The 22,301-nt window shown below is 39.3% G+C and overlaps 2 protein-coding genes across 5 annotated transcripts in view, besides 2 other annotated features; one reads left to right on the forward strand and one right to left on the reverse strand.

The window, feature by feature from the left end:
• Positions 1–2,545, reverse strand: part of PIGF (phosphatidylinositol glycan anchor biosynthesis class F) — a 36,105-nt gene extending 33,560 nt beyond the window's left edge. For all 4 annotated transcript variants that reach the window (NM_002643.4, XM_011532908.4, NM_173074.3 and 1 more), the window contains exons 1-2: positions 2,474–2,545; positions 441–689 (exon numbers count right to left, since the gene is read on the reverse strand). In NM_002643.4, coding sequence (NP_002634.1) covers positions 441–668 — 228 coding nt within the window. In that variant the 5' untranslated portion in view covers positions 669–689; positions 2,474–2,545. The remainder of the gene's footprint in view (positions 1–440; positions 690–2,473) is intronic.
• Positions 2,172–2,221: an enhancer, noted in NCBI's record as "active region_15715". NCBI's record gives its function as "activates an Ori minimal core promoter by ATAC-STARR-seq in GM12878 lymphoblastoid cells {active_cell/tissue: GM12878}" and the evidence as "EXISTENCE:reporter gene assay evidence [ECO:0000049][PMID:35858748]".
• Positions 2,719–15,680, forward strand: CRIPT (CXXC repeat containing interactor of PDZ3 domain). The gene is made up of 5 exons (NM_014171.6): positions 2,719–2,802; positions 4,277–4,342; positions 5,131–5,185; positions 9,268–9,371; positions 9,667–15,680. Exons 1-5 carry the CDS (start codon positions 2,787–2,789, stop codon positions 9,729–9,731), a joined length of 306 nt encoding a protein of 101 aa, NP_054890.1. The 5' UTR covers positions 2,719–2,786; the 3' UTR covers positions 9,732–15,680.
• Positions 12,050–12,119: a silencer, noted in NCBI's record as "silent region_11452". NCBI's record gives its function as "represses an Ori minimal core promoter by ATAC-STARR-seq in GM12878 lymphoblastoid cells {active_cell/tissue: GM12878}" and the evidence as "EXISTENCE:reporter gene assay evidence [ECO:0000049][PMID:35858748]".

Below are 22,301 nucleotides of genomic sequence, written 5' to 3' on the forward strand. Positions count from 1 at the left end.
ATTGTTTAGTCAAGGAAGGCCATGTTGGAAACAAGCATTACCACAGGCTTATATTGCAATTTCTGAAAATCCCACTAAGTGGCTTTCAGAAATGCAAAAATAATAAAAATAAACTGCAATGTCTTATTGAGTAAGGTTTAAAGATAGACTGTCACACGTATTTATTTTCAATGGTGACATAAAACAATGACTATATAGGCTCACAATATTATAATATGCTCTGAAGAAGTCATAATTCCATAATTAATGCAAGGCAAGGATCAATCAAACATTGTGGGCAGCCTTCCACCAAGTAACAGCCTACCAATTTGGGGGGAAAAATATCAGGTTCCCTTTGCTCACTATAAATAAGCTAATAAAGACTTGATGAATACTTTATTCTTCCATTAAAAGAAACACTAGCTCCATCCAAAAATCAGTTATTGAGACATAAGCCTTACCTTGTGTGATAATGAACTTCTTTTAGAGGATGTATTTGGTTTCACTACTAAATATAGTACTAGATTGACAGCAGTTACAAAACCAGAACAGATGCACAACCATGTCAAGTGTGTTTCCAATATTGAGAAGTTCTCCAAGAAGAGTGATGGAATGAAGACACTTAGGATAATTGAAAATATGCATAAAAGATGGGTATACAGTAGTCTCTTGATATCGTTATCTTTCATGGTGTTTTCTTGGATGGCTAGCTAACAAAAAACAAGAAAAGAAGAGCATATGCAATAACGACTTTTTCCATTGTCTTAAATGTTTTGACCCCTAAAAATAGGTCATAAAGTCAATTTTCTATGAGCAATGTATTTGTTTCAAAACACAAAAGATGCAGACGTGTAGATGCACATACAGACTTAGCTTTCTATTCTACCTTTGATTTTCTTAATATGGTACAAACATCTCTCAGAGCCTAAAAAGAACAAATTTACTAATTTCTTAAATATTGTGACTGGTTTCTGCAAAAGGGTCATGTCCTAGGACCAATAAAGCAATTCATTTAAACTTTTTTGGCCAATATCAAAGAGATGAAATCAACTGTGTGGATTAAATTATCTACTGCCTGTTGCAATTATAACCAAAGTTTATTTATGCGGTTTCTAGAATGCATAGGTTATAATTCCAACAACTCCACAAATATACTTAGGCTGAATTGTTGGTATTTTTTTTTACTCTTGTCTAACATTACAGTAGTTCACATCTTCTAGCAAATGCCAAATGACACCAAGTGCACATTCCAATACTCAAATGGTGGCCAGTGGAATCAAGAGTTCAAAGAGCACCACACTAAACCAAGGGATCCCAATGCTTCAGAAATACCAAGATGACAACGTCTGTTACAGGTGTTAAATTCCAACCAAAAGTAGAGCACGAACGGAAGGAGGAAAAAAAAATTACCGTCTCTAAAATACACGTATTTAAATTACCTGAGAGCTGACTAATTGTACTGCTAAACAAGGACTTTATTAATTTAAAGTAACAGTCAATATGTTACATTATGGAGAATATTCCAGAAAATAGAAATATCTCAGAAAAAAAAATACTATACACACACACGCACACGCGCGCGCGCGCGTGGGCGGAGGGGCGCCCACTAGTGAGAAAAGCAGAAAGGCGAACCTGGGCCTTATCCTAATAGCTCTCATTTAATTCACCCAATGCTTTTCAAAGGCAGATATTTTACTGATAAGGAAACACGGCAAACAGGTGAGGTGGTCCAAGGTCCCATGCGCTACAGCCATCTCTCTGGTATAAGGAAATACACTAGGCATGAAAAGCAAACGGATGGCAAGAAGGGACAAAGGGAAAGTTTCCCATAGATTCTATCTTAAGCTGATTGAGGGAGGGCAAGGGGATCAGGAATCCATTCTCTCAACAGATAGCCCTTCAGCGATTTTTCTGAGCCACCCTCGGAATCGCAGCTGCCAGCAGCAGATGTGGATGTAATACAGTGAGCAGGACCCAAACTCAAATGTTTGCTGAATGAATGAAGGAACCAGAGTAAGCAAAGAGGGAACCAGCACCGGTTAGGCCCTGGCGTGCCCCCAGGACGCCTGCAGAAGTGCCACGGGCATGACCCGGCCCACCTCGCTACGCACCGCAGCGGAGAGAAGGCTCTTCCGAGCGGCACCCAGAGGAGCCTTCGCGGGCATCGCCGCACCTTCACCGGCAGCCCCACCCCAACCCGGGTCCCTCGGGATTCTGCCCGAGCCTACGCCGGCGCAAGCGTGGGCAGCGAGGAACCAGCTGAGAGGCAGGATCAAAGAGCATGGGAGTTGAAGACAAGGGAAAACTGGGGGACAGAGGCGAAAACTCGGATCCGAAAGGGGGTCTGTCCATCAGGGCACGCCGGAAGAGTGGCGCTGAGCTGACGGCGAGCGCCGGCGGGTCGGGGCGCCAAGGCTCAGGGCTGCTTCGGCAATTCGCGGGGGTAGCTTGCACCTCGTGAGGCGAGACGCCGAGGGCGTCCAGCGGGGCTTACCTAACTCTCCCTCCCGCGGAAGGGAAGCGGGGAACTACTGCCTCCTACCATCAGGTACGACGGGCGGCCCAGGCCCACGCGCAGGCGCAGGGCTGTGGGGCGGAGACCCACGCCTAACAGCCAGTCGCAGAAAGGGAGGGGCGGGCAAAAGGGGCAGCGGCTTTCCAGGTTTGGGGTAGGCGGGAGTATGGGCTTAGAAGCCGGAAGTGGGTTGACGTAGCCCGGAAGGGGAATACTTCCAAGTTGTAGTGTTGTTGTTTTCAGCCTGCTGCTGCTGCTGCTGTTGCGGCTAGGGGAACCGTCGTGGGGAAGGATGGTGTGCGAAAAATGTGAGTTAAGGGGCCGCTTCTGCGGGAGGAGGAGGCTGGGAGAACCTAACTGAGCTCTCCCGGGAACTTTGCTTTCTCGTTGTTTTTTCTTCGCCCACAGGTCTCAGATTCTATCCGCTGTCTTTCTACCCTACCCTTTGACCATTTTTGCACCTCCCAACGACCATACAGTCCTATATATTTTGTACTCAGAATGGTCTCAGTTCTGCACCTCCTTGTCTATTTCTGTTGCCTTCCCCCAGCCCCAGATCTCATCAGCTCTCCTCCCATATAAAAATGTGCAGTTAAACCCCAACGACACCTTTCTGTCTTGGCAATTCTTGATCTTTCCTTTCTATTCATGTAAGAAGTATTGTTCTCCTGCCAAATGCTAGACACTAGAACCAAAGACTAAGGACTTTGCCTTATTCATTCTCATTAGTCATTATGCCAGGATATGGCTTAGAGTAAGCCCAGAAGATGCTTGAATTGAAAATCAACGTAAGTGCAAATTATTATTTCCCTAACTTAAAACCTTTAATAAATTCTCAGTGTGCAGAGAATAATTTGGGGATTCTATATTTGGAACCTGGCGTTCAGGACCCTCCACACTAAGGCCCCAACTTATTTTTCCAGCTTCATCTTCACTGAGGCTTATCCTCTTCACATTTTGACCAAACAAAATACTCTTTGTGCCCATGTGTACTCTAAGCTTTCTATGCCTTTCCTCAGAATGTGTCCTTTATCTAGTTTGCCTTCATCCTCTTTACTCCTTTTTGTTCACAGTCCTATTGCCACATATCCAAATCCTCTGTCTTGCCTTCTCCCCAAACTTTCTTTTCTTGGATTTCCTTAGCTAGGGTTATTTCTTCCTGCATGGAATTTCTTCTAGTACTTTAGCTGTCGATTATTATACTTTTTATTTTTTAAGCTTACATTTTGGTTGAATGGTTCTTTTTGGGGGGAAGGTCTCTGATCCCTCTGATAATCTGATGAAAACTATAGACTCTTGCCAGGAAAAAAAAATGAATATATAAAAGGTTTGTGTACAACTCCACCTTGTTCGCATATCTCTTAAGATCCACCTGTGGAACCCAGGTTACAGATTGCTGTTAAAGAAATTAGTGTACTGTAATCCCTTTAAAATTGTGTCTGATTCATCACTTCATTTTTCTCAGCACTTTGTATAGTTTATACATGATAGATGCTTAGTATATATTTATGGAACAAATAGACTTACCAGATTTGTTTAAAATATAAACCAACAGTGAAAGCTTATTATAAGTCATCTTATTATCCTACGCATTTTACTGAGGGTCAGTCATTCATTGGCCACAGTTAATATGAGTCTCAGTTGATTGGCTGCTCTCCCAGCATTAACAGGCTCCTACGGTAATACCATTGATAGTCGATACCATTGTGAACCTTAGGCACAATGTAATGCACTTATTAAATAATAAAGTTTAATTTTCCTTTTACTATCTTGTTCTAACAGGTGAAAAGAAACTTGGTACTGTTATCACTCCAGATACATGGAAAGATGGTGCTAGGAATACCACAGGTATTTCTTCTTTTAGAAAATAGGAATTTAACCGAATACTTACTGTGAATAATACCTTAGTTTTTACATTATTTGTACAATGAAATGTTATGTGTTCAAAGTATTTTATCTATTAAACATTAAAGAATACTGGGTCCTCAAGTGATTTAATATCTTCTATTTAGTTCTCAGTTACTTGTACGGGTTCCTAATATCAGGAGATAGCAAAATTATTAAATGATTGTCAAGTGATGGCAATATCACAGTATTTGATTATCAGAGTATTTGATTTGATTCAGCTTATTTAGAGTCTGTATTTAATTTCTGCACTCTTCTGAGGAGAAATTTTTTTAATCTTCTGATTTTTATATTCTTGAATAAATGCTTTAACCCATTTTACCTTCATTATCATTAATTACTTATGATGAAGTATTTACCTTCATTATTATTAAATACATATAGTAAAGTATGTTTTCAATGGGTAGAAAAATAAACATTTTCATTATATTCAAGGTCTATGACACTGATATAGTGGCTTCTAGATTTTATGCTATATAGAGTAAATATAGACCCATTCCTAAAGTACTCCCTTGAGTCTGAGAAATAAAATGATTGTATTTTATACAAATTTTTACTGTTTCCCTAATAAATATTTTCTTTTTAAGCAGTATCTTAATAACCTATTAAATGAGGATTTAAAAATTAGATATAGACTACTATTTTGGTAGAAAGTCAAGGAATGAACTTCTTAATATTATATGTTAAATGTATAGAAATAACCCACTAAAATATCTTTTATTCTGATACAGAAAGTGGTGGAAGAAAGCTGAATGAAAATAAAGCTTTGACTTCAAAAAAAGCAAGGTGGGTAAGAGGATCCATCGATGGGTCACATAAATTTCCTTCTTTTAGTATTAAGTCTGCTGGAGTGAATTTGATGTGCATCATTCCATTTGCAATAAAACAGAGTTAGGTGGTTCCTAGCACTCAGAACCAAGCTATCTGTTATAATCCTGCTGGTTTTACCTTATTCCTCCTCACTGTATCAATATATGAAGATATTAGTGTTATTCTCTTACAGTTTCACCAGAAAACATGACTTTTATTTTATCTCCTTCTTAATTATCTTATGAATCAGAGACAGCAGGCAAATGTGGAAAGATCATAAGCTTTGGAGTCAGACCTAAATTTGAATCTAGACTCACTGTCTAGCCTTATGACCTTAAGCAAGTTAAGCATGTTTCGTGACCTTTCTAAACTTTACTTTTTCCTGAGAATTGCGTAAAAAGTGTCCCATCTTAAAAACAAGTGTTTGATACCACACTTTATTATATCCAGCTTAAAAATTCGGCTGGGTAAGGTGACTCACACCTGTAATCCTAGCACTTTGGGAAGCCAAGGCAGACAGATTATCTGAGCCCAGGAGTTTGAGAGCAGCCTGGGCAACATGTGAAACCCTGTCCTACAAAGGACAGAAAAATTAACTGGGTGTGGCAGCACGCGCCTGTAGTCCCAGCTACTCAGGAGGCAGACGTGGGAGGATCACTTGATCCCAGGGAGGTCAAGGCTGCAGTGAGCCAGGATCGCACTACTGATCTCCAGCCTGGGTTGACAGAGTGAGAGTCTCTTTCAGAAAAAAAATTTCGTGAACCCTTTCATCTGCCATCTGATTTCTTTGCTCCCCTTCACATCAGAAGTTTTCCAAAGTCTTACCTAGACACTTTTTCAGTGTCCTTAAGTTCCTTTCCCTCCTTCAGCCACTCTAGTCATGTGTTATCCCCACAACAGCCCTGAAACTGTTCTTGTCGAGATCACAAGTGACCTTTTAGAGTGACTTCAATCTACTGGCTTTAAATTCAAGCTATATGTTATATATATATATATGTAATAATATTATTATATATATATTATAATATTATTATATATATATAACTCCCAAATTTATACCTCTGGCCTGACTTCTCTGAGCTCTAAACGTATATCTAGCAGTTTATCTGACATACCTCATTTAATGTCTAACAGGCCACTTCTTTTTCCTTCCGTCTTCTCATCATAGTAGCACCACTCTCTAATCCACTTGTTCAAGCCTAAAAGCTAGAATTCCTCACTGAGTCCTCCCTTTCCCCTACTTCCCCTATCCATCAGCAAGTTCTTTGGATCTACCTCCAAAACGTAAAATGTAACCTGAAACCACCTGCTTCTGTACATCTCACTGCTATTACCCTTTTCCAAACCACTGTTATTTCTTACTTGGAACTGTAATAACTATTGAACTATCTTCCTGCTTCTCTAGTTTCCCGCAGTTGTCTCATAGTAACGAGAGTGATCCTTTACAAAGTTCCTTTGCTTAAAATCCGCCACTGGTTTTCTTTTTCACATAGAATAAAATTTAAGCCCCCTACCATGTTCTTACAAGGTCCTCCTTAATATGACCCCTCCCACCTCTCCGGCTTCGTATTGTACCACACTGCTCCTCATTCATCATATGCTGTCTTTATTAGTTCTGCCAAGCCCACTCCCATCCAAAGAGATTTGTACTTGCTGCTGTCTCCTAGGAGTCTTCCGTTAGAGCTTACGTATCTGCCTCCTTCTTGCTGTTTGGGTCTCAGCTTCAGAGAAGTTTCCCTAATCAGCATCTAAACTAATCTCTTCTTTCCTTTTCCTCATCTCTGCCTTAGTATCCTGTTAGAATTTTCTCTATAATACTACTATTTGAAAACCTTGCTTGTTTTATTAGATTGTCTGTTTCCTTACTTACTGTTTACCTCTTCTCACTACAATATTATCTGATGAGGGCAAGGGCTTTGCCTATCATGTTCATCTTTGGTATTTAGAACAGTAAATACCATGTAATATTAAGCACTCAGTATATATTTGCTGAATGAATAAATACCTGTTTTCTGATGTCATCCCAAGGATTAGAAATAACAACAATAAAGCCTTAACTACATACAGTGCCTAGCACATAATAGCATCTTTAATGCAGATTCACACTATATATTATTGACTGACTTATTGAGGTCTTTGAGAACCATTCTGTTTTTATTGACTGAGCTATTATTTGTACAGATTTTATGCTTTTATATACTTCCAGTTCCTTTATGCTCTCAAACTTACTCTGATATCATTAAAAAGTAGCTGTAACTCTTGGGTACTCTCTTACTTTGGAAAATGTACTACAGTATTGCTTGGAATCTATGGTACTGTTATTTATAAGATGCATTGTTACTTTAAGAAAAAACTCTGCCAGTTTTAAGATTTCCAAGGTTAGGCCGGGTGCGGTGGCTCACGCCTGTAATCCCAGCACTTTGGGAGGCCGAGGCAGGCGGATCACAAGGTCAGGAGATCGAGACCATCCTGGCTAACATGGTGAAACCCTGTCTCTACTAAAAATACAAAAAAATTAGCCGGGCGTGGTGGCGGTCACCTGTAATCCCAGCTACTCGGGAGGCTGAGGCAGGAGAATGGCATGAACCTACGAGGCAGAGCTTGCAGTGAGCCGAGATTGCGCCACTGCATTCCAGCCTGGGCGACAGAGCGAGACTCCGTCTCAAAAAAAAAAAAAAAAGATTTCCAAGGTTACAATGTGTATTTTTGAATAATAAAATATGGTTTTAAGAAAAAATAGCCTCTGGAAATACATGTCCAAACAAATTGAACTTATTGAAAGGAAGAAGAGTACCTATCTTTTGTGGGGAGTAAAGTGATATTCTCAGCTGGGCGCAGTGGTTCACGCCTGTGATCCCAGCACTTTGGGAGGCCAACGCAGGCGGATCTCCTGAGGTTGGGAGTTCGAGACCAGCCTGACCAACATGGAGAAACCCCATCTCTACTAAAAATACAAAATTAGCCGGGCGTGGTAGCGCATGCCTGTAATCCCAGCTACTTGTGAGGCTGAGACAGGAGAATTGCTTGAACCTGGGAGGCAGAGGTTGCAGTAAGCCAAGATTGCGCCATTGCACTCTAGCCTGGGCGATAGAGTGAGATTCAGTCTCAAAAAAAAAAAAGTGATATTCTCTGTGTTTGGAAAAATTAACCTTTGTAAATGGGCTGTTGTACTATACCCAAGAGAAGACACCAGTTCTAGGACGGTGTTTCGTATCTAGTATATGAGGATCATTACAAAAACTCATTTTGTAAAAATGTTAGGGAAGCACATTTAAATCAGAGTATTATTGCCATTTTAGGGGAAAGTATTTCTTTTTTTCACTCCTGTCACTATAAGATGGCATTTTTATATAGTGGAAGCCCTTTTATCTAAAAGGATTGAGTCAGTTAATTAAAAATGTCAGCTAATGTAAGCAGTCATTAAAAGATACACATACTTTATTTTAAATTAAAGCGCATAACTGTAGATGCATTAATCATTTGGTATTGAAACAAAGCCTTTTGAGCATAAATCGACTGATAAGTGCTTTACATGATTGTCGTCACAAAAATCACAATCAGAATATGTTCAGTTTCTTTAAAGTAGAGCAAAAATTGATGCTTGAGGTGTGGAGTTACTTTCCTAGTGATTTTCCCCCAGTTTTCAACAGTTGTCTTACCCATACCTAATTCAATAGCAATTCATATGATTCCTAGTCATCCTAAAATAGTCACTTAGGTTATATGGAATCAGTCACTCTTTTTGCACCCACATTTCATCAGTTTCCATAATATTTATGTCACACAAATAGAATGACAGATACGACTGATATGAACACGTCAAGAATAAATACTGTACAACTGATTCTTTATAAGTATATATCTCACATGGATGGAGCAGAGCAGAGATGTACAGGCATATCAGACAGTAGCCATCTGGAATAGGCTAAACCCATCAATTGTAGAGGTTGATGGAGGGATGGAGAGCATGGATTAATCCTGTGTGTTGCGTAAGTGGGGTTATTTAAGAGTGTTTCTAGTGTAATATACAATTTTCTCTCTTTAAAAAAAATTTCTAGATTTGATCCATATGGAAAGAATAAGTTCTCCACTTGTAGAATTTGTAAAAGTTCTGTGCACCAACCAGGTTCTCATTACTGCCAGGGCTGTGCCTACAAAAAAGGTAAGTTTCTTTTAATACCGTTTTCTATTCATAAAACCGACTTCATTTGCTGCTAATTTGGTTAACAGAAAAGATGTAGCCTGTCATAAATTCTGTTAGCCAAACACTCTCTTTATCCTAAGGCAAAATAGAACCTAAAACCTGTTTATAATTAAAATTATATATATATATATATTTTTTTTTTCTTTTCTTTTCTTTCCTGATGCTGTTAAATTATGTTTTAAGCTTCAGGATTGACTTAAACCAAACAGTTGGTATTATGATTTGATTGATCACATATCTTCTTTTGTTTCAGGCATCTGTGCGATGTGTGGAAAAAAGGTTTTGGATACCAAAAACTACAAGCAAACATCTGTCTAGATGTATTGATGGAATTTCTGGCTTTCTAAATGATTTTACTTTCTGCCTTGAATTTTCAAGGCATAGATGTCAACTTACAGAATAACATGTTTTAAGATAATTAAGTTTAAACCAGAGAATTTGATTGTTACTCATTTTGCTCTCATGTTCTAAACAGCAACAGTGTAACTAGTCTTTTGTTGTAAATGGTTATTTTCCTTATAAGAATTTTAAGAACTAAGTGGCAAATTCCATGAAAATATTTCTCAGTTCTGTATGCACTTTTATTTAACATTATTCATATAATTCTCCCCCCACCACTTTATTTATAGATACTGCAAAAGTGAGAAGGAGATAATAGATACTTTGCTCTGAATTTGGCATCCAGAGTTAACATTTCTCCCCTCACTCCCTTGCTGGTGTCATAGTTATTAGAATCAGCAGCCTCTTAACTAATTGCGGTTTCATAGGATATATAAATGTTTCAAGCCATTATTGCTGAATGGTTCTTTAGTTATTAACCTAGACCCAAATCAAAGACCAGTTGGATTTATGATATTTTTTATTTGTTCTTGCAGCCAAAGTGCCAGTTTCTTTAATATGTGACCAAGAACACAAGGAGCATCCATATGGCCAAATAAATACACTGAATTTTAGAAAAACATATTACTTTGAATTCAAATTGTCATGAAAACCAGAACAGTGTTTGTCCATGTTGCATGTAATGAAAATAAATCCCTGCTCTGAGAAAAGCTCTTTGAAGCAAAAACCAAACTTTTTTTTTTTTTTTTTTACCTCCTGTCTTGCCCCCTAAAAGAAATAAATAGAGCAAACATCTTGACTCTCCCTTTTTAAAATTTGTTTGTTTTTTTTTTTTTTTTTTGGATACAAGAGCTCACTCTGTTGCCCAGGGTGGAGTGCAGAGGTATCATCAGGCTCTCTGCAGCCTCCATCTGCTGGGCTCAAGCAATTCTTCCCCCTCAGCCTCCTAAGTAGCTGGGGACTACAGGCGTGTGCCACTGTGCTCAGCTAGTTTTTATTTTTAGTAGAGATGAGGACTCACTATGTTGCCCAAGCTGTTCTCGAACTTCTGATCTCAAGCAATCCTCTGGCCTCAGCCTTCCGAAGTGCTGGGATACAGGTGTGAGCCACAGAACTTGGCCTCTCTCTTTTTTTTTTTTTTTTTTTTTTTTTTTTAACACTACAGGTTTCAAATGAATACTTTTCTTATGTTGCCTTCAGAGGTTCAGGACTTCTGCTTTTAAAACCTGCAGCCTACCGTGGGAAACCAAAAAAGCATTCCCTATTTCCAACTGCAGTATGTATAAATACATATCACTACAAAATGTATAGAAAGTGTGATGAGATACATGAATGGCATTTTTATTGGTCATAACATTTTGATGAAAAGCATTTAAAGTTTTAACTTTATAAGGCTTTTCAAAATGTGTTTTTCTGAGATACATTGTTATTTATTCATATCCAGAAAAATTACAAGGATAATACAGAATATAATAAATAATTTATCTGAGAGCAGGAAGTATCCTCTCATGCTTAATCAGTTTGGGGTTTTTAATTATAACACAGGAAACTCATAACAGGACCTGGTCAGAGAGCATCCCAGATCCATTAAAGATTGGATTCATTGACTTGGAGAAAAGTACATTTCTCAGGGATCAGCTAGAATCTGGACTTGCCTAACTCACATTTCATTTTTTTTGTTGTTGTTGTTGTTTTTATAATTTCAACTTTTATTTTAGATGTAGGGGTACATGTGCAGGTGAGTTATATGGGTATATTTTGTGATGCTGAGGTTTGGGGTACAAATGATCCTGTCACCCAGGTAGTGAGCATAGAGTCCAACAGGTGGTTTTTCACCCCTTCCCTCCCCTCTTCCCTCCAGTAGTCCCCTATGTCTGTTCTCATTTTTATGTCCATGTGTACCCATTGCTTAGTTCCCACTGATAAGTGAGAACATGCGGTCTTTGGTTTTCTGTTCCTGTGTATATTCACTATAATGACCTCCAGCTGCATCCATGTTGCTGCAAAAGACATGATTTTCATTCTTTTTTATGGCTGCATAGTATTCTGTGGTGTATATGTACCAATTTTCTTTATCCAGTCCACTATTAATGAGCATCTAGGTTGATTCTGTGTCTTTGCTGTTGTGAATAGTGCTGTGATGAATATGTGAGTGTATGTGTCTTTTTGGTAGAACAATTTATTTTCATTTGGATTTATATCCAGTCATGGGATTGCTGGTTCAAATGGTAGTTCTGTTTTAACTTCTTTGAGAAATCTCCAAACTGCTTTCACAGTGGCTGAACTAATTTGCATTTCCATCAGTGTAGGCGCATTCTACACTGCACTGGCTTCTACAGTGTTGAAGCATTCCGTTTTTCCCACAGCCTCACCAGCATCTGTTATTTTTTTGACTTTTTGATAATAGCCATTCTGACTGGTGTGAGATTGTAACTCATTGTGGTTTTGATTTGCATTTATCTGATTAGTAATGTTGAGCATTTTTTCATGTTTGTTAACCGCTTGTATGTTGTCTTTTGAGAAGTGTCTGTTCAAGTCTTTTGGCATTTTTTTAATGGGTTTTTGTTTGTGTGTGTGTATTTTTGTTTTTGTTTTTGTTTTGAGATGGAGTTTCACTGTTGTCACCCAGGCTAGAGTGCAATGGCACCATCTCAGCTCACTGCAACCTCCACCTCCCGGGTTCAAGCGATTCTCCTGCCCCAGCCTCCTGAGTTGCTGGGATTACAGGTGCCTGCCACCAAGCGTGGCTAATTTTGGTACTTTTAGTAGAGACAGGGTTTCACCATGTTGGCCAGCCTGGTCTCGAATTCCTGACCTCAGGTGATCCACCCATCTCAGCCTCCCAAAGTGCTGGGATTACAGGAGTGAGCCACCACACCTGGCCACGAGTTACTTGGTTTTCGTTTTCTGAATTGTTTTAGTTCCTTATAGATTTTGGACATTAGACCTTTTTCAGATGCACAGTTTGTGAATATTCTCTCCCATTCTGTAGGTTGTCTGTTTACTGTATTGATAGTTCCTTTTGCGGTGCAGAAGCTCTTTAGTTTGATTAGGTTCCACTTGTCAATTTTTGTTTTTGTTGCAATTGCTTTTGAGGACTTAGCCGTAAGTTCTTTCCCATAGCTGATGTCCAGATGTTATTTCGTAGGTTTTCTTCTAGGACTCTTATAGCTTGAAGTCTTACATTTAAATCTTTTTTTTTTTTTTTCCCCAAAGACAGAGTCTCCTTCTGTTGCCCAGGCTGGAGTACAGTGGTACAATCTTGGCTCACCACAACCTCCACCTCCCAGGCTCAAGCGATTCTCATGCCTCAGCCTCCCAACCTAACTGGGATTACAGGCACATGCCACCACGCCTGGCTAATTTTTCTATTTTTAGTAGGAATGGGGTTTTACCATGTTGGCCAGGCTGGTCTTGAATTCCGAGCCTCAAGTGATCCACCCACCTCAGTCTCCCAAAGTGCTGGGATTACAGGCATGAGCCACTGCACCCGGCCCCTTATATTTAAATCTTTAATCTATCTTGAGGTAATTTTATATATATGGTGAAAGGGGTCCAGTTTGAGTCTTCTGCATATGGCTAGACAGCTGTTCCAGCACCATTTATTGAATTAGGGAATCCTTTCTCTGTTGCTTATTTTTGTTAACTTTGTCAAAGGTCAGATGGCTGTAGGTGTGTAGCTTTATTTCTGTCTGTTCCATTCCATTGGTCTATGGGTCTGTTTTTATATCTGTACCATGCTGTTTTGGTTACTGTAGCTTCCTTATAGTATAGTTTAACTCAGGTAATGTGATACCTCAGCTTTGTTTTATTTGCTTAGGATTGATTTTTTGGTTCCATATGAATTTTAGAATGGATTTTTTCTTTTTTTTTTTTTTTGAGACGGAGTCTTGCTGTGTCTCCCAGGCTCTGAGTGCAGCTGTGCAATCTCAGCTCACTGCAACCTCTGCCTCCTGAGTTCAAGCAATTCTCCTGCCTCAGCCTCCCAAATAGCTGGGATTACAGGAGCCCGCCAACCATGCCCAGCTAATTTATGTAATTTTAGTAGAGATGGGGTTTCATCATCTTAGCCAGGCTGGTCTTGAACTCCTGACGTTGTGATCCACCCGCCTCAGCCTCCCAAAGTGCTGGGATTACAGGCGTGAGCCACTGGACCCGGCAGGATTTTTCTAATTCTGTGAAAAATGATGTTTGTAGTTTGATAGGAATAGCATTGAATCTGTGGATTGCTTTGGGCAGTATGGCCATTTTAATGATATTGATTCTTCTAGCTCATGAGCTTGGAATGTTTTTCCATTTGTTTGTGTCATCTCTGATTTCTTTCAGCGTGTTTTGTAGTTCTTGTCCAGCTCACATTTTATCTTCATACTTTGAGTAGCCTCCTTCCATGAATGGATCATCCAGTGGCCGCACTTAGGTTCTCCTATGAAGATTTTTGTTGTATTGTACCTCAGAACCATCTCCATATTCTCTAAATAATAATAATGATGGTCATAAATTGAATAGAAGTATTTACTAGATGAGGAGGAAAACCCTAAAACAAAACATGAACATAAAATATTTTTAAAAGGAAGACATACAAACAGACACTATAACCAAATAAGATGACAGAATTAAGGCCTTATGCCACAGCCAGAGTTGAAAAATGCAGAAAAAAAGTTTAAAAACAAGGAATTAAAGCCAAACCTAACTTTTATCAAAATAAATGTAAAAGTGATGAAAGAATCTGTTAAGATATCAGATTGTAATATAAAAGATACTAGAAACAAATGCCAATAGAACACTTAAGTACATTTTATATATTCATCCATTAGAATATATAGCTGTCAGAATGATAGAAGAATTACATATGTGTGCAAAAGTTTTTGTATCCATGTGGAAAACACAGGAAGCTAATAGTACTGTTTTTCTCTGGAGTGGGTGTAAGGGTAGAGACTTAACTCTTTACATCCTTATGGCAGCCTTCGAATACCTTTTAACTCCCAGTTCCCTTAACTGGGGGTGTGTATCCTAGAATCCTCGACCCATTAGAAAGTATATTGTAGACATCATACTCTTTACCCTTTAACACTACACATGCACTTCATAAGAACAAGCATGCTGTCTTACCCAAGTACAGCTATCAAGTTCAGAAATTTAACATTGCCATAATACTTTACAGTCCATATTTCAATTTCATTTGCTGTTTTATTGGTAATTTTTTTCAGCTCCACGATCCAGCCTAGGATCATATGTTGTATTGCCATAACCCTCTAATCTGGAGCAGTTCCTCAGCTTTTCTTTGTTTTTTATAATAGTAATATATTTGAAAAATACAGGACAGCTAAAGGATAGAGTATCCTTCTATTTGGGTTTTTCTGATGTTTCCTCATGGTTAGATTGGGGTAGTGCAGTGAGGGTTGAAATGCTGTAAGTGATATGTATTGCAGGTATACATCCAGATGCACAGAATGTCCATTTGTCCCTTATTGGTGATGCTAATTTTGATCACTTGGGTAAGATGTCCAGTTTCTCCAGTGTATCGTTATTGTTTTTCCTTTTGCAATTAGTGGGTAATTTGTGAGGAGAAACTTTGAGACCTTGTTGACAATTCTGTTCCTCATCAAATCTACCCCTCCTAGGTTTAGCATCCTTTGACGATTCTTGTCTGAATAAATTTTTACTAGGATGTTTCCAAAATTGTGATTGTTCTAACTCTATTATTATTTCTGTATTAATTAGTCATCATTCTACTGTAAGGAAGAGGTTTCCCTTTATCATCAACTTCGAGTAAGTACTTTTTTCTGAGCCATTTGAATATTCCTTACTAGATGTGGTGCCTCTTTACCCCAATTACTTAAGTTTGTATTTCCAAAGAACAAGGGTGTTTTCCTGCATAGCCATAGCACAATTACCAAAATCAGAAAATTAACATTAATACTTTACTATTATCAAATCTTTTTCATATTTTGCTAATTGTTTCAGTAATATGCAAAAAAAAAAAAAAGTCTGATCTGGATCCACTCTGGAGTAACATTACATTTAGTTGTCATGTCTGTAGTCTCATTTATTCTGGAGCAGTTCTTCAGCCAGTCTTTCAAAATGCCAAGGTTATGGGCCAGTTGTATTTTTTTTTTTAATTTCAACTTTTATTTTAGACTCAGGGAGTATATGTGCAAGTTTGTTACATGGGTATATTGCGTGATGCTGAGGTTTGGGGCACCATTGATCCCGACACCCAGGTAGTGAGCATAGTACCCAATAGGTAGTTTTCCAACCCTTGCACCTTCCCTCCCTCCCTCCTCTAGTAGTCCTCAGTGTCTATTGTTCCCAACCCGTAGACTTTTTATAGAGTAACTCTTAATCTGGGTTTTTCTGGTATTTCTTGATGATTAGACTGAGCTTATACATTTTTGGCGGGGATACCACAGAAATGGCATTGTTCTTTTCAGTGCACCGTATCATGGTGTCAGTTGTCCCATTACAAGGATGTTAATTTTGATCACTTGTATTAGGTGATATCTGCTATATTACTCTACTGTAAAGTTTCTAATTTTTTACGTTAAGTTAGTAAGCATTTTGTGGGGAAATACTTTCAGATGATAACTATTTTGTTTCTCAACAAACTTTCACACACTCATTTTAGCATCCAGTGATATTTCTTGGTGGAATTAATTGTTACTCTGGTGTTGCCAAGTGGGGATTCTTCCAATTGTATTATTATTTCTGTGTTTATTCTGTGGCATTCTACTATAAGGAAAATATTCTACTAAAGCCTTGGAATCAGCCATTTCTCCAAAGAGCCTTAGTTTCTTTTAGTGGAGAATGGTTTTTAGAAACCATGATCTGAGCCTCCTGGGTTGTCATTGCTTTTAGGCCCCTTTGACAGAAAGAGCTAGGAAACATGTATTAGAAATCACAAGTTTTCCTGATATCTCCAGTTCCAGTCCAACCGCTACAGGGTTCTTCCTTGCCTTTTCCTATTCCTTACTTTTATCTTCTTCCACAGTCAAAACCCTGGCACTCAGCATTATCAGTGTATTTGTTCATTCACAAAACTGTGAATGTTTAAAGTGTTAGGTATGTATGCCTTTTGTAATTAAAAATAATTTTAAGTTTAAAAAAAAAAACTCTGGGTAAGCCCACAGGAGTATTACACATGTGAATGTCGTTCATTAATATGTTATTATAGAAAACAGCTTGGGAATTTCTGCGCGTGTACTGCTTCCTAGATAAATTAGGCAAATGAGCAAATGGTGCCACTTTTTCAATTCAGACAGCATTTATTGGACTTCTACATTGTTCTCATCTCTAGCCAGACTGCTGTTATTGGTTCCACAGTTTTTGCTCATAAGCAAGAACTTGATACAGAACCCATCAAATTAAGGCCGGGTGCAGTGGCTCATGCCTGTAATCCCAGCATTTTGGGAGGCTGAGGTGGGTGGATCACCTGGGGTCAGGAGTTCAAGACCAGCCTGGCTAACATGGTGAAACCCCATCTCTACTAAAAATACAAAATTAGCTGGGTGTGGTGGCGCACACCTGTAATCTCACCTATCAGGAGACTGAGGCAGGAGAATCGCTTGAACCCGGGAGGTGGAGGTTGCAATGAGCCCAGATAGCACCACTGCACTCCAGCCTGGGCAATAGAGTGAGACTTTGTCTCAAAGAAAACAAAACAAAAACATCAAATTAATGTGGAAGTGTAAAAATAAGATTGACAACAGGAACAAGGAAAATATTTTGAAAGAATAGTAACTAAAGGGAGAAAAGCCAACTGTAGTGGCTTACACCTGTAATCCCAGCACTTTGGGAGGCTGAGGCGAGAGGATCATTTGAGCCCAAGAGTTGAAGACCAGTCTGGGCAAGATGGTGAGACCCCATCTCTACAGAAAATTTAAAAATTAGCTGGGTACAGTGGCATGCGCCTGTTGTCCCAGCTATTCTGAAGGTTGAGATGGGAGGAGTTCCCTTGAGCCTAGGAATTCAAGGTGGCAGTAAGCTGTGATCATGCCATTCCACTCCAGCCTGGGTGACAAAGTGAGACCCCTTCTCTTTAGAAAAAAAAAAGAAGAAGAAGAAGAAGGAGACCAATTCAAAAGCAATGATTTTAGCAAAAAAAAAGAAAGAAAAAAAAAAGAAACTAGACTAAGGCACTGGGAGAATGGAAGTCAAGGGACAGATTTGAAAGACCTAATAATTAAAGATTTGACAGGACTCAGTTACTAAATGTGGGAGGAATGAGAAGGCCTTGCCTGAATCATTGGGTCTCATTTAGATTGGTAATAGTAGGTCTCTCCACCAGATGGCAATGATGCTCTTTTCTTAGTTTTTAATTTGCCATGCTAAGAGATTTACAATTACAGCAATTTAAAGATCAGATAGATAGACAAGTTTCTAACAACTGCCAGAGAAACTTGCTAAACAACAGTAAAAAGCCTGAAAAAATAGGTATATAAACACACTTGTGCATATACATATGGAAATATATATATAATTTTAAAACATGAGTATGATTAAACTATCAAGAGGTAATGATTATCTTCTGAGGCTAGAAAAAAGGGCAAGTACAAATTCAAAAAAAGTACTAATGCTTGCCCTAGGAATATCCGCCATTCCCTCAGGGTCTAAAGCCTATGCTTTAAAGGGTATCGTATGCGTGGAAGACAGAGCCCAGGACTTGAGCAAGTTGAGGAGGTTAGATCAGAGATATGTGCCCAAAGCATGGAGCCCTGAAAAGCAGCAGTTTCAGTGTGTTTACTAGAATATCCCCTCGCATATGATGAGAAAGACAGTGGGAATACTTTTGTATCGTGGCCTTAGCCCCAGGAACAGTGGGAAAGAAAAAAATTGGAAACCTCTCCAAAAACTTAGGCACAAAGATCCAATGATAGAAAATATGACAAACAGGCCAGGCATGGTGTTTCATGCCAGTAATCCTAGCACTTTAGGAAGCCTAAGCAGGAGGATTGTTTCATCCCAGGAGTTCAAGACCAGCCTGGGCAACATGAGACCCTGTCTCTGCAAAAAAAAATTTTTTAATTAGCCAGATGTAGTGGTGTGCACCTGTAGTCCCAGCTACTCAGGAGGCTAAGATGAGAGGATTGCTTGAGCTCAAGATGTTGAGGCTGCAGTGAGCCATGGTCACACTACAGCACTCCAGCCTGGGCAACAGAGTAAGACCCTGCCTCAAAAAAAAAAAAAGCCAAGCGCAGTGGCTCTTGCCTATGGTGGCACACACCTGTAGTTCCAGCTACTTGGGCGGCTGAGGTGGGAGGATCACTTGTGCCCAGGAGGTGGAGGTTGCAGTGAGCCATGATCACACCACTGCACTGCAGCCTGGGCAACAGAGTCAGACTCTGTCTCAAAAAATAGATATATTGAGTTAAGATAGCTCATAACAGTCTCTTTGTGATCTTTGTTGCATCTATATTTGAAAAAATAGAAGAAATGGATAGTTTCCTTAAAAAAACAATAATTGAAACACCAGAATGACGTGATTTTATAGGCAAGTTATACCAAAATTCTAATAACAGCTAATTCCAAACTTGCACAACTTTTTCAAACAATGAAAAAATGAGAATACTTAAAAGGCTAATTACCAAAACCAAGCAAGTATTATAAAGAAAGGAAAATGACAGGCCGGGCGCAGTGGCTCATGCCTGTAATCCCAGCATTTTGGGAGGCCAAGGCAGGTGGATCACCTGAGATCAGGAGTTCGAGACCAGCCTGGCCAACAAGGCAAAACTCCATCTCTACTAAAAATATAAAATTTAGCCAGATGTGGTGGCACGCGCCTGTAATCCCAGCTACTTGGGAGGCTGAGGCAGGAGAATTGCTTGAACTCGGTAGCGGAGGTTGCAGTGAGCCGAGATTGCACCACTTAACTCCAGCCTTGGCGGAAGAGTGAAATTTCGTCTCAAAAAAAAAAAACAAAATGACAGGTAATTATCACTCATGAGCAAAGACATTAGAAAAAAAATATGAAATAGAAATTGAGACATGAACAATAGAAGGAAAAGGTCTGATATATACCCAAAGTTCCAGAAGAACTTATTCTCTCTACGTTTATATATATTTAAAATTTTTCTTTTTCTGTTTTGAGATGGAATCTCGCTCTGTCACACAGGCTGGAGTGCAGTGGTGCGATCTCGGCTCACTGCAACCTCTGCCTCGCGGGTTCAAGCTATTCTCCTGCCTCAGCCTCCCAAGTAGCTGGGACTACAGGCGCCTGCCACCATGCCCAGCTAATCTTTGTATTTTTAGTAGAGACGGGGTTTCACCATATTGGCCAGGCTGGTCTTGAACTCCTGACCTTGTGATCCACCCTTCTCGGCCTCCCAAAGTGTTGGGATTACAGGCATGAGCCACCATGCCCGGCCTAAAATTTTTCGTAACACACCTGCTCTACCACATGTCAAAGCATATTTTAAAGCTGAAATATTGAGACGATATTCAACACAAAAACAGACCAGGAGTAGATAACTACATATATGTAAAAGTGATATATGACAGGTAGTATTGTAGATCACTGGGGAAATTCATCAGTAAATTCAAACTGGATTCCTATCTCTTAACCATATGTGCACACACACACAAAAATCAAACCCAGGACTTAGATGTAAAAGACAAAACCTTTAGAGAACAAATATGAATGAGGTTCCATGTTTCAAAAGTAATTTAACTTTTTTGTGGTTTTCAACTTTGTTTTTGCTTCCTCTTCATTCACTTGAAAAACCAACTTCCTTCAGTAATATTCATTCAACGTCATTTTTGATGAGATTAATATTTGCCAGACGCTTTCAAACACCAAGGATACAGTAGTGAGCAAGACAAGCTCTCTTCCCTCACAGAGCTTACACTGAGGTGGTGACTATGCAAAGGTACATAGTAACCAAGTAAACAAGATGTTTACAGAGTGTGAAAAGTGACAGAGAGTGAGTGAGGAGTGTGGTCAGAGTAGGCCTCTCTAAAGCAGAGACATTAGAGTTGACACTTAAAAGATCAGACAATTGAACATTTCAAGAGGGAAGGGTGTGCATAAGAACAGAGGGAGAAATGTCTTTATGGGGAGATGTGAAGTGTGTGTTGTGTGCCTTCAAAACTTCCTTGGGTCTTGTAACACCCACTGCATTTTTCAAGTCCTTTCTTACTGCCTGCTCCCACCTCTGCTGAGATAACTGAAATAGCCTACTTCATATTATTGTTTTTTACTGTCATCAAATCTGTCAATTGTATGTTTAATATTTTCTGCAATTTTTATATATAAATTAGCATGAAAGTTTTAACATAAAAGCTTAGGAGCAAGCACAAACCTATCTGTGCCAAAAGAGGGCAAAACAAAATAAAAGTTCCTAAGAGAAGATAAGCTACACATAGTCATAGTTTCGGCTTCAGCGTTTTGGAAAGTATACAAGAATACCCTTCTAGAAAGTCAGCAGGCAAAGTAACGAATGAGTATTGGGGAGCATAGCACTTGATATGGTGTAGGCATGTGGCCAGCCTGTACCGTAGACCATGTACTGACCATTCACTGGTCATGTACCGTGGACCATGTACAGCAGCAGGAATTTGCCTTCTAAACTCAATCTTAATTACCCCCAGCTCTCAGGAATGGGTCAGAGAAAACATGTCTGTAGGATGAAATGAGTATCTTCAGCTGATCCAAGCTGTAAGGTGTGGCGGAGGACACATGAATTTTACCAGGACATGATCTAGGCAAGCCAAATACAGATAAACTTGGTCAGGTTCAGATTTAAAAAATGAAAAAGGATAATGGCAGCACGCATGTTGGTGATGATAGCCACCAGTGTACCTGTCTCTTAAGATTCACTCTAGTATGAACTGATTATATCTACACCTGGTGCAGCTGTCACCTTTGGATTTCCCTACACCTCTCTTCCGTGTTGAATGTCCTGTTTCTTTATCACTATGTCTTTCTTTTTCTTAGTTTCCTTAGGTTTGTTTCTTTTTCTTAGTTTCCTTAGGTTTGTTTTGAGGCAGGGTCTTGCTCTGTCGCCCAGGCTGGAGTGCAGTGGTGCAATCACAGCTCACTGCAGCCTTGACTTCCCTGGGCTCAAGCATTCCTCCTGCCTCAGCCTCCCAAGTAGCTGGAACAACAGACATGCGCCACCACACTCGAGTAATTTTTTTTATTTTTTTGTAGAGACAGGGTCTCGCTATGTTGCCCAATACAGTCTTGAACTCCTGGGCTCAAGTGATCCTCCCACCTCAGCTTCCCAAACACTCCATTGTTTTCCTGGAGCACATCCTCCAGTAAATTCCTGATCAAGGATACATGGAAGGTAAAATTTTGAGACCTTGGATTTCTAGAATTTGTCTTTATTCTACTCTCATGTTTAATCGATAGTTTGGTAAGTTATCAAATTCAAAATAAAAAGCACTTGCCTTCAGAATGTTGAAGGCATTGCTCTATTATCTTTTAGATCCCAGTGTCGCTGTTGAAAGAAGCCATTGTGATTTCAGATCCTTTATTGCTCCCACCACCCTGGAAACTTGTAGCATCTTTCATTCATCCTCAGTATTTCATGATGACTTGCTTTAGGGTGA

This window comes from Homo sapiens, chromosome 2, assembly GCF_000001405.40.
Source record: "Homo sapiens chromosome 2, GRCh38.p14 Primary Assembly".
Lineage (NCBI taxonomy): Eukaryota > Metazoa > Chordata > Mammalia > Primates > Hominidae > Homo > Homo sapiens.

What these genes read in the sequence shown, in the direction of transcription:
- CRIPT (NM_014171.6), top strand. An exon ending in TGGTGCTAGGAATACCACAG is followed by an intron (nt 4,343 to 5,130) that starts GTATTTCTTCTT and finishes ATTCTGATACAG; the next exon opens with AAAGTGGTGGAAGAAAGCTG. An exon ending in GGGCTGTGCCTACAAAAAAG is followed by an intron (nt 9,372 to 9,666) that starts GTAAGTTTCTTT and finishes CTTTTGTTTCAG; the next exon opens with GCATCTGTGCGATGTGTGGA.